General features: G+C 40.1%; 1 protein-coding gene across 2 annotated transcripts in view, besides 1 other annotated feature; it reads left to right on the plus strand.

The window, feature by feature from the left end:
* Positions 1-12,507, plus strand: part of WNT2B (Wnt family member 2B) — a 63,625-nt gene that overhangs the window by 6,544 nt on the left and 44,574 nt on the right. The gene's annotated exons all lie outside the window — the stretch shown is intronic.
* Positions 4,529-4,729: a silencer, noted in NCBI's record as "peak369 fragment used in MPRA reporter construct". NCBI's record gives its function as "represses an SCP1 promoter by STARR-seq MPRAs in K562 erythroleukemia cells {active_cell/tissue: K562}" and the evidence as "EXISTENCE:reporter gene assay evidence [ECO:0000049][PMID:32103011]".

Here is a 12,507-nt window from a genome sequence, read left to right on the forward strand (position 1 = left end):
AACACGGAAGGAGGAAGGAAGGAAGGGAAAAAAGAAAGAAAAAAGAGAAAGAAAGAAGAAGGAAGGAAGGAAAAGAAAGAGAGGAAGGGAGGGCGGGAGGGACAGGAGAGAGGGAGGGAAGGAGGGAGGGAGAGGAAAGGAAGGAAGGAAGGAAGGAAAAGAGGGAGGGAGGGAGAGAGGGAAGGCAGGCTGGTCAAAATAACACAATGACAGAAATAGCAGACAATTACATTAAAATAGCTATTATAACTGTACTGTATATTCAAGGAGATAGGGAAAAGATTGAGTTTGGTAACTAGAGACATGAAAGATGCAGAAAAACTAAAATCAAACTTCTAGAGATGAAAATCCCAGTATCTGAGATTAAAAAAAAATGGATGAGATTAGCAACAGATTACACATTGTGGAAGAAATGATTATTAAATATGAAGAAATATTAATAAAAGCAATCCATAATAAAACACAGAGCATAAGAAATTTTTTTTAATGAACAAAGCATCAGTGAGCTTTGGGTCACATTCAGGTGACCTAATGTAAGTTTAATCGGCATCCCCAAAGAAAAATATTTGAACAAACAATAGCCAAGATTTTCCAAATTTGATGAAAATAATAAATTCACAGATACAAAAAAAGCCAATAAATATAAGCATAAGAAACATGAAGGAAACTGCAACAAGAAACATCATAATCGGCTGGGCATAGTGGCTCATGCCTGTAATCCCAGCACTTTGGGAGGCCGAGGCGGGTGGATCATGAGGTCAGGAGATCGAGATTATCCTGGCTAACACAGTGAAACCCCATCTCTACTAAAAATACAAAAAAAAAAAAAAATTAGCCGGGCGTGGTGGCAGGCAGTTGTAGTCCCAGCTACTCGGGAAGCTGAGGCAGGAGAATGGCATGAACCCAGGAGGCAGAGCTTGCAGTGAGCCAAGATAGGGCCACTGCACTCCGGCCTGGGTGACAGAGAGAGACTCTGTCTCAAAAAAAAAAAAAAAAAAGAAAGAAAAAGAAAAAGAAACATCATAATCAAAAAGCCTAAAACCTATGATAAAGAGAATGCTTTTTTATTTTTATTTTTTGAGATGGATTTTCACTCTGTCGCCCAGGCTGGAGTGTGGTGGCACAATCTCGACTCACTGCAACCTCCGCCTCCCGGGTTCAAGCGATTCTCCTGCCTCAGCCTCCCAAGTAGCTGGGACTACAGGTGTGAGCCACCACATCTGACTGATTTTTTTTTGTATTTTTAGTGGAGACGGGGTTTCACCGCGTTAGCCAGGATGGTCTCAATCTCCTGACCTCGTGATCTGCCTGCCTCCGCCTCCCAAAGGGCTGGGATTACAGGCGTAAGCCACCATGCCTGGCCAAGAGAACACTTTTAAAACAACCAGAGGAAAAAAAGCTATTACATACAGATGAACAAACATAAAAGAACATGAGATTTCTCATTAGTAATGACACAATCCTGAAGACAGTGGAGCAGTTAGTGGTAGACTACTGAGGAAAAAAACTGTCAACCTAGAATTCTAAACCCAGTGAAAATACCTTTCAAAAACAATGGCGATAGTCACTTTTTAAAATGTGAAACACCGTTCAGAAAAATGAGGATCGTGTTATGGTTTCAATCTGTATCCCCACCCAAATCTCATGTCGAATTGTGATCTCCAATGTTGGAGGTGGAGTCTGGTGGGAGGTGATTGGATCATGAGCATGGATCCTTCATGAATAGTTTAGCACCCTTGGTGCTGTTCTCATGATAATGAGTAAGTTCTTGAGAGATCTGGTTGTTTAAAAGTGTGTAGCAATCCCCCACACACACACCCAGCTCTCTCTCTTGCTCCTGCTTTGGCCATGTGATGTGCCTGCTACCCCTTCACTTTCCACCATAATTGTTAAGTTTCCTGAGGCCTCCCCAGAAAGGGAGCAGATGCTAGCATCATGCTTCCTGTACAGCCAACAGAACCATGAGACAGTTAAACCTCTTTTCATTATAAATTACCCAGTCTCAGGTACTTCTGTACAGCAATACAAGAATGAACTAATACAGATTGCTTTCCTTGATGTGTGAGAGTCATCATCTCTCCTCTTGGTTCATTATTGGGTGTGCTATAAATAAAATCATTAGCAATTAAAGTGAGATTTGCCCACACACACAAAAAGCAAAATAAAGATATTTCTCAAACATGCACATGATGAAAGAATTCCTCATCAGCAGAACTGCAGTACAAGAAATACTAAAGGAAGTAGTTCAGGCAAAATAAAACTAATAACAAATCTGCATCTATACAAAGGAATGATGAGCATCAAAAAATGGTAGGCATATGGGTAAATATGAAAGACTTACCCATTTTAAAGAGATTTAAAGAACAATAACTTTTCTTTAAATATTTAAATCTCTCTAAAGAGTTATCACAGTGTATTGTGGGCTTTTTCACATATGTAGAAATAAAATGTATGACAATGATAGCACAAACGCTGAGGGAAGAGAAATGGAAATATACTGTAGTAAGATTCTTATTCTGTAAATTCATCGGCATAATATCACATGAAGCTAGACCACAATAAGTTAAAGATGTACACAATGAGCCATAAAGCAACCATGAAAAAAAGCAAAACAAAACTAATAAGGCAACAAAGAAGATAAAAATAGAATCATAAAAATAATCTATAAGAAGGAAAGAAGAACAAAGAACCTATGGTAGAAAAATAACATTATTGATTTAAGCTAACTATATGAATAATCGCTTACAATTTAAATAGCCTAAACAACTCAATTAAAGGCAGAGATTGTCCAATTGTATTTTAAAGACAAACACTCAAAAATATGCTGCCCACAAGAAATCCAATATAAATATAAAGACATGTATAGGGTAAATTATTATTGACTACCCCACCCAAATGCAACAGAATACATATTATTTTTTAATGCACACATAGAACATTTACAATGATAGACAATATTTTTGGCTACTGAAAAGTCTCAATACATTTTAAAAGATCTAAATCATGCAAATTATGTTCTCTGGCCACAATGGAATTCAATTAGAGTAAATAAAATGCGGGTTTCTGGGATATCCCTAAATATTTGGAAAATAACACACTACCAAATAACCCATGGGTCAAAGGAAATTAAAGGAGAAATTAGAAAATAATTTGAACTGAATGAAAAGGAAGATGTAACATATCAATATTTATGGGACACAGATTGAGTACTTAAAGAGAAATTTATAACACTAAATGCCTATATTAAAAAAGAAGAAAGATATAAAATCAGTTAAGCAAATAGAAGTTCAAATGACATCACCAAGATGGTGGATGAGAAGGTAATGCCCATCCCCCACTGAGAAAAACAACGAATAAACAACTACATACCAACCAAAATAGCTCTGGGAGAGCTGCAGAGTACAATGAAAAACTTGCAGCAACCCAAAGGACCACACAAACCAAGATAGCCATATTAAAAAATACAGAAAGTATCCTACCTACTCCACCCCATCCCCCAGTCCAAGCACAGCTTTGCACCAAGAGGCATCTCCTGGACACAACCCACAACCTCCACCTGTGGGAGAAAAGTAGAGCAGGAGGACCCCAGCATCCTTTGCCACCAATGCAAACATTGACCACTTTTACCACTGAGGACCCCTGCAGTTTCCACCAGTGATGATCTCAACTGACAGAGCTTTCCAGGGTCCATGCTGCTGTGTCCCCCTGGAGAAGAAGCTGCTGTGTCCCCAGTGGCCAAGATTACCAACTCACCGTCTCACAATTGCATGTATGCTCTAGACCCCAGAGCCAAGGCTGCTACATGTATGATGGACACTTCTGACACTGGCACCACCACTGCCATGGGCACACCTGTACCCCAGATCATAGAGCCATGGCTGTTCTGTGTGCAACCAAGCATCAAATACCAGCACCACTACCAACATGAGCACACCTGCACTGTGGATCTGGCACAAAAAGGGATCCCATCAGCTGTGAAGTTCCCCCAAGCAGGAATAAGAGAACAGGAAAATGCCAGCAGCCTTTGCTGTTGCATTTGGGTGGGGTAGTCAATAATAATTTACCCTATACATGTCTTTATATTTAGAGTACCCAAGCAACTTTTTCTGCTGCTGTGTACACCCACAGCCTTGGCTGCTGAGGGCCTCCAGAGCCATTGGCCATGCTGATCTCAGCTGATGGAGCTTTATAGAGAGTATGCTGCTGTACCCACCATGGAGTTGGAGCTGATGCTGTGGCTTCCCAGAGCTAGAACCACCACACCCAACTCAGACAGCATCTTCATGCCCACTTATAAATGGTCTTTCCCTATTGAAATGAGTCCATACAGTCTGGAAGAGGTGGCTATTACTTCAAACATGCAGACATCACTACAAGGCTAAAGAAACATAAAAAAATCAAGGAAATATTACACCGCCAAAGGAACACAATAATTTTTCAGTAATTAACCCCAAAGAAATAGAGATCTATGAACTACCTAAAGAATAATTCAAAATAATTGTTTAAGGAAGCTTGGTGGCTACAAGAAGACACTGGGAATTCAGTGAAACCAGAAAAGCAATACAAGAACAGATTAAAAGTTCAAGAAAGAGATAGAAATCATTTTAAAATAACCAAACAAATTATGGAGTTGAAGAATACAATGAATGAAATTGAAAATACAATAGAGAATTTCAACAGCAGACTTGATCAAGCAAAATAATTTTAAAAAAAAATCTGTGAACCTGAAGACACATCATTTGAAATTATCTAGTCAGCAGACAAAAGAGAAAAAAGAATGGAAAACAGTAAAGAAAGCCTATGGGATTTATGGAATACCATCACTGAAATCAATATATGTATTTGGGAGTTCCAAAACCAGAAGAGTGGCTGAGCACTGTAGCTCATGCCTGTAACCCTAGCACATTGGGAGGCCAAGGCAGGAGGATCACTTGAGCCCAGGAGTTCAAGACCAGCCTGGGCAACATAGTGAGACCTGGTCTGTACAAAAAATGTAAAAATTAGCTGGGTGTGATGGTGCATGCCTGTGGTCTCCACAACTCAGGAGGCTGAGTTAGGAGGATCACTTGCACCCAGGAGGTCAAGGCTGCAATGAGCTGTGATTGCACCACTGCACTCCAGCCTGGGCAACAAAGCAAGATGCTGTCTCAAAGAGAGAGAGAGAAAATAAAAAAGAAAAAGTAGGAGAGAGGGCAGAAAGCTTATTAAAAAAAAATAATAAAGGCTAAAAACTTCCCAAATCTTGAGAGAGATATAGACATCCAGATTCATGATACCAAATAGCCCCCAAATAGAATCAACCCAAAGAAGACTACATCAAGGCATATTATAATCAAATTACCAAAAGTTAAGGACAAAGAGAATTTTGAAAGCAGTAAGAGAAAAGTAACTGATCACATATAAGGGAGACTCGATGGGACTATTGGAAGATTTCTCAGAAGAAAACTTGCTGACCAGGAGAAAATAGGGTGATATAACCCAAGTACTGAAAGAAAAAAAAATGCCATTTAAGAATACTATTCCTAGAAAAATTTTCCTTTAAAAATGAAGGAGAGGCTGGGCATGGTGGCTCACACCTGTAACCCCAGCATTTTGGAAGGCTGAGGTGGAAGGATCACTTAAACCTAGGAGTTTGAGACCAGCCTGGGCAACATGGCAAAACCTCATCTCCACAAAAAAAATTTAAAAATTAGCCAGGTGTGGTGACACACTCCTGTAGTCCCAGATACCAGGGAGGCTGAGGCAGGAGGCTTGCTTGAGCAGAGGTGTTTGAAGTTGCAGTGAGGCATGATCACACCACAGCACTCTAGCTTGGGCAACAGAGCAAGATTCTGTCTATAAAAATAAAACTAAAGGGCTGGGCGCAGTGGCTGATACCTGTATCCCAGTACGTTGGGAGGCCAAGGTGGGCGGATCCCCTCAGGTCAGGAGTTTGAGACCAGCCAGACCAACATGGTGAAACCTTGTCTCTACTAAAAATACAAAAATTAGCTGGGCGTAGTGGTACATGCCTGTAATCCCAGCTACTCAGGAGGCTGAGGCAGGAGAATCGCTTGAACCAAGGAGGTAGAGGTTGCAGTGAGCTGAAATTGCACCATTGCACTCCAGCCTGGGTGACAAGAGTGAAACTCTGTCTCAAAATAAATAAATAAATAAAAATAAAACTACAAATAAGATTAAACAAAACATAAGACAAAAATTTGCAGGGGCTGGGCGTGGGGGCTCATGCCTATAATCTCAGCATTTTGAGAGGCCGAGACGGGCTGATCACCTGAGGTCAGGAGTTTGAGACCAGCCTGGCCAACATGGTGAAACCCCGTCTCTACTAAAAATACAAAAATTAGCCGGTTGTGGTGGCAGGCACCTGTAATCCCAGCTACTTGGGAGGCTGAGGCAGGAGAATCGCTGGAACCTGGGAGACAGAAGTTGCAGTGAGCCAAGATCACACCACTGCACTCCAGCCTGGGAGACAGAGTGAGACTCCATTTTAAAAAAAATTTTTTTTCTAATGGATATACAGTATAAAAACAAGCCAGCAGCCAACAAGATCACAAAGTGTGCAGGGGTGCAGGGATGGAGAGTAAAAGTCTAGTGTTTTTGTAAGCAATTGAAGTTAAGTTTTTTTGTTGTTGTTGTTTTATTTTTGAGACGGGGTCTCGCTCTGTCTCCCAGGCTGGAGCGCAGTGTCGCATCTCTGCTCACTGCAAGCTCTGCCTCCTGGGTTCACACCATTCTCCTGCCTCAGCCTCCCAAGTAGCTGGGACTACAGGCACCTGCTACCATGCCCGACTAATTTTCTGTATTTTTTTAGTAGAGACGGGGTTTCACGGTGTTAGCCAGGATGGTCTCAATCTCCTGACCTCGTGATCTGCCTGCCTCAGCCTCCCAAAGTGCTGGGATTACAGACGTGAGCCACTGCACCCAGCTGAAGTTAAGTTGTTATCAACTAAAAATAAGTTACAACTCCAAGCTAACCATAAAGAAAAGACCTATGGTTGGGCACAGTGGCTCATGCCTGTAATCCCAGCACTTTGGGAGGCCAAGATGGGCAGATCACTTGAGGTCTGAGGTCAGGAGTTCAAGACCAGCCTTGCCAACATGGTGAAATCCTATCTCTACTAAAAATACAAAAATTAGCCAGGCGTGGTGGCAGGCACTTATAATGCCAGTTACTTGGGAGGCTGAGGCAGGAGAATCACGTGAACTTGGGAGGTGGAAGTTGCAGCCAGTCAATATCACACCACTGCACTCAGCCTGGGTGACAGAGTAAGACTCCGTCTCAAAAAAAAAAAAAAAAAAGAGAAGACAGTACAACCGATACCACAGAAACAAAAAGATGTATAAAGGACTATTATGAACAATTACATGCCAACAAACAGGAACAAACAGGATCACCTAGAAGAAATGGATAAATTTCTAGAAACATACAACCTACCAAAACTGAAGCAAAAAATAGAAAGCCTGAACAGACCAATAAAAAATAAGGCAACTGAATCAGTACTCAAAAAATCTCCCAAAAAAGAAAGCCCAGAACCAGATGGCTTCATAGGTGAATTCTACCAAGCATTTTAAAAAGAATGAACACCTAATCTTTCTTAAACTCTTGTGAAAAATAGAAGAAAAGGGAACACTTCAGAAGTTATTCTGCAAGGCCAAAATTACCCTGATACCAAAACCAGACAAAGATACTCCGAGAAAAGAAAACCTCAGGCCAATATACCTGATTAACTTAGATGTAAAAACCCTCAATGAAATACTAGCAAAACTAATTCAACAGCACATTATAAAAATTATACACCATAGGCCGGGCATGGTGGCTCACACCTGTAATCCCAGCACTTTGGGAGGCCGAGGTGGATGGATCACCTGAGGTCGGGAGATCAAGATCAGCCTGACCAACATGGAGAAACCCCGTCTCTACTAAAAATACAAAAATTAGCTGGGCATGTTGGCAGGTGCCTGTAATCCGAGCTACTCAGGAGGCTGAGGCAGGAGAATTGCTTGAACCTGGGAGGCAAAGGTTGCAGTGAGCCGAGATCGCGCCACTGCACTCCAGCCTGGGCAACAAGAGCAAAATTTCGTCTCAAAAAAAAAAAAAAATTATACACCCTGAGCAAGTGCAATTTGCTTATTTATTTGTTCATTTGTTTTATTATCCCTGGAATGCAAGTATGGTTCAACGTATGAAAATCAATCAATGTGATACAACATATTAGCTAAAGAAAAAATGTGATTATCTCAATAGATGCAGAAAAAACGTTTGGCAAAGTACAATATCTATTCATGACTCTCAACAAAAGAGGTACAGAAGAAACTTACCCTAAAATAATAAAGGCCATTATGAAAAGTCCACAGCTAATATCATAACCAATGGGGAAAAACTACAAGCTTTCCTTCTAAGATCTGGTACAAGGCAAGGATGCCCACTTTCACCTTCTTTTCAACATAGTACTAGAAGTCCTAGCCAGAGCAATGAGACAAGAAAAAGCCATCCAAACAAAAAAGAAGTAAACTTATCCTTCTTTGCAGATGGTGTGATCATGTACATAGAAAACACAGAAGACTCAATGAAAAAACTGTTAGAACTAATAAATGAATTCAGTAAATTTGCAGGGTACAAAAATCAACATAAAAAAATTAATCAGGCCAGGCGTGGTGGCTCATGCCCATAAGCCTAGCACTTTGGGAGGCCAGGTCAAGAGAATTGCTTGAGTCCAGGATTCAAGACCAGCCTGGGCAACATAAGGAGACCCCCATATCTACAAAAATTTTTTTAAATTAGTCGGGCATGGTGGCTCACGTCTGTAATCCCAGCACCTTGGGAGGCAGAGGCGGGCAGATCACTTGAGGTCAGGAGTTTGAGACCAGCCTGGCCAACATGGTGAAACCCCATCTCTACTAAATACAAAAGATTAACCTGGTACAGTGGTGCATGCCTGTAATCCCAGCTACTTGGGAGTCTGAGGCAGGAGAATTGCTTGAACCTGGGAGGCAGAGGTTGCAGTGAGTTGAGATTGTGCATTGCACTCCAGCCTGGGCAACAAGAGTGAAAACTCCATCTCAAAAAAAAAAAAAAATTAGCCAGGCTAATTTAAACGGTGGTGCATGCCTGTGGTTCCAACTATTTGGGAGGCTGATGTGGGAGAATAGTTTGAACCCGAGAGGTCAAGGCTGCAGTGAGTCGTGATTGTGCTACTACACTCCAACCTGGATGACAGAACAAGACCCTGTGTCAAAAAATAATAATAATAATCACATAAAAAAATTTTGAGACAGAGCCTTGCTCTGTCACCCAGGCTGCAGTGCAGTGATGTTATCATAGCTCACTGTAGTCTTAAACTTCTGGACTCAAGCAATCGTCCTGCCTCAGCCTACTGATAATCTGGGACTACAGGCACATGCCACCAGCCCCACTAATTTTATCTTTTTGTAAAGACAGGGTCTTGCTATGTTGCCCAGGCTAGTCTCAAACTCCTGGCCTCAAGCAATCCTCCTGCCTCAGCCTCCGAAAGCACTGGAATTACAGGCATGAGCCACCATGCCCAGCCCTAGTCACATTTCTAGACACAAACAGCAAAGTAGTCAGAAAGAAAATTAAGGAAACAATCCCATTCCCATTAGCAACAAAAAGAATAAAATATTGAGGAATAAACTTAGCCAAAAAGACTTGTACACTAAAATTATAAAACATTGAAGGAAATTAAATAACATTATAGATAAATGAAAAAGATATCGCATGTCCATAGATTGAAAAAATATTGGTAAAATGTTCATACTACCCAAAGTGATCTACAGATTTAACGCCATCCCTATCAAAATCCCAATGGTATTCTTTACAGAAATAGACAATAGAATCCTAAAATTCACATGGGATGACAAAAGACCTAGAATGTCCAAAGCAATCTTGAGCAAGAACAAAGCTGGATTAATCACACTTCCCAATTTTGAAATGTATTATAGCCAGATACAGGGTAGTCCCAGCTACCTGGGAGTGGAGTCTGAGGCAGGAGGATGCTTCAGCCTAGGAGTTTGAGGCTGCAGTGTGCTATGATTGCACCTGTGAATAGCCACTGCACTCTAGCCTGGGCAACATAGATACACACACACACACACACACACACACACACACACACACACATATACACACACACACACATTATAGTAATGAAAACAGTATGGTACTTGCATAAAAACAATATATAGAGCAAAGGGACAGAATAGAGCTCCCAGAAACAAATCCATGCATCTATAGTCAACTGATCTTCAACAAGGATGCCAATAACACACAATTGGAAAAGGATCATCTCCTTGATAGTGTTGGAAAAACTGGATATACAAATGCAGAAGGATGAAATTGGATCCATGTCTCACACTATATACAAAAATCAACTCAAAAAGGATTACAGATCTAAGCTTAAAAGCTAAAACCATAAAACTCCTAGAAGAAAACATAGGGGAACATTTTCTTGATATTGGCCTGGGAAATGATTTTTTTTTTGATGTGACACAAAAAGCACAAGCAACAGAAGCAAAAATAGACAAATGAGACTGCATCAAACTAAAAAGCTTCTGCACAGCAAAGGAAACAACAGAGAAAAAAGGCAGTCTAAGGAATGGGAGAAAATATTTTCAAACTATGTATCTGATAAGAGGTTAACATTTAAAATATATAAGGAACTCATACAACTGAATAACAAAAAAAAAAAAAGAAAGAGAGAATAAATTTAAAAAATAAATAAATAACCCTACTTTAAAATGAGCAAAGGACCTGAATAGACATTTCCCAAAAGAAGGCATACAGATGGCCAATAAGTATATGAAATCATCGGAGAAATGCAAATCAAATGAAATGTCACCTCACACCTGTTAGAATTAGTATTATCAAAAAGACAAAAGCCAGGTATGGTGGCTTGCGCTTATAATTTCAGCTATTCAGGAGACTGAGGTGGGAGGATCACTTGAGCCCTGGAGTTCAAGACGAACCTGAGCAACATAGTGAGACTTTGTCTCCAAAAATTATATATATATAATTTTATATAATAATTTTAACAATTTTATATAATAATTTATATAATAAATTATATATATCATTTTTATATATAATTTTGTCTCCAAAAATTTTATATATATATACACATATATATATACACATATATATACACATATATATACACATATATATATACACATATATATATATATATATACACACACATATATATAGAGAGAGAGAGAGAGAAGAGGGTCTCACTTGTCACCCAGGCTGGAGTTGGTGGTGCAGTCTCAGCTCACTGCAACCTCTACTTCCCAGGCTCAAATGATCCTCCTGCCTCAGCCTCCTGAGTGGCTAATTTTTTTTTTGTTTTTGTTTTTGTAGAGACAAGGTTTCACTACATTGCCTAGACTGGTCTCAAACTCCTGGACTCAAGTGATTCATCTACCTGGGCCTCCCAAAGTGCTGGGATTACAGGTGTGAGCCACTGTGCCTGGCCCCCAAAATTTTTTAAATTTAAATTTAAATTTTTTAAATCACCAAACTCCATGCCTGGCATGTGCCTGTAGTCCTAGCTACTCAGAAGGCTGAGGTGGGAGGATTGCTTGAGACCAGGAGTTCAGGCTGCAACTCCAGCCTGGGTGACAGAGCAAGACTCCCTCTTGAAAAAAAAAAAAAGGTTTATTTCTTTATATTAGCAATGGAAGTAGAAATTAATAAATAATACTATTTATAATAGCATCAAAAATACTAAATGTAAAGATATCTGACAGGAGATGTGCAAGACTTATACACAAAAACTACAAGTCATTGCTAAGACAAATTGAAGTTCTAAATAAATGGAGAGATATACTGTGTTTATAAATCAGAAGACAATATGGCTATGAATTCAGTGCTCTCCAAATAATTCATATATAGATTTAATGCAATCCCAGTGAAAATTCCAACAGGCTTTTTTGTAGAAATTGACAAGTTAACTCTAAAATTTGTATGGAAATGCAAAGGACCTAACATAACCAAAACAACTTTGAATAATAAAAACAAATTAGAAAATGTCACTATCTAACTTCAAAGCTTTTTATAAAGTTATAGTCGTCAGGCCTGGGGGCATGATGGCTCATGCCTGTAATCCCAGCACTTTGGGAGGCCAATGCTGGCAGATCACCTGAGGTCAGGAGTTTGAGACCAGCCTGCCCAACATGTCAAAACCCCGTGTCTACTAAAAATACAAAAATTAACCAGGCATGGTGACAGGTGCCTGTAATCCCAGGTACACAGGAGGCTGAGGCACGAGGATTGCTTGAACCCAGGAGGCAGAGGTTGCAGTGAGCCAAGATTGTGCCACTGCACTCCAGCCTGGGCGACAAAGTGAGACTCTGTCTCAAAAAAAAAAAAAAAAGGTTATGGTCATGAAGACTACGTTTTATTGGAATAGAAATAAAGAACTATATCACCATATCAATCAAACAGAATGAAGAGTCCAGAAACAGTCTCTCAAATATGTGCTTAGTTTA

The sequence above is a fragment of the Homo sapiens genome, chromosome 1 (genome assembly GCF_000001405.40).
Source record: "Homo sapiens chromosome 1, GRCh38.p14 Primary Assembly".
NCBI classification, from domain to species: Eukaryota; Metazoa; Chordata; class Mammalia; order Primates; family Hominidae; genus Homo; species Homo sapiens.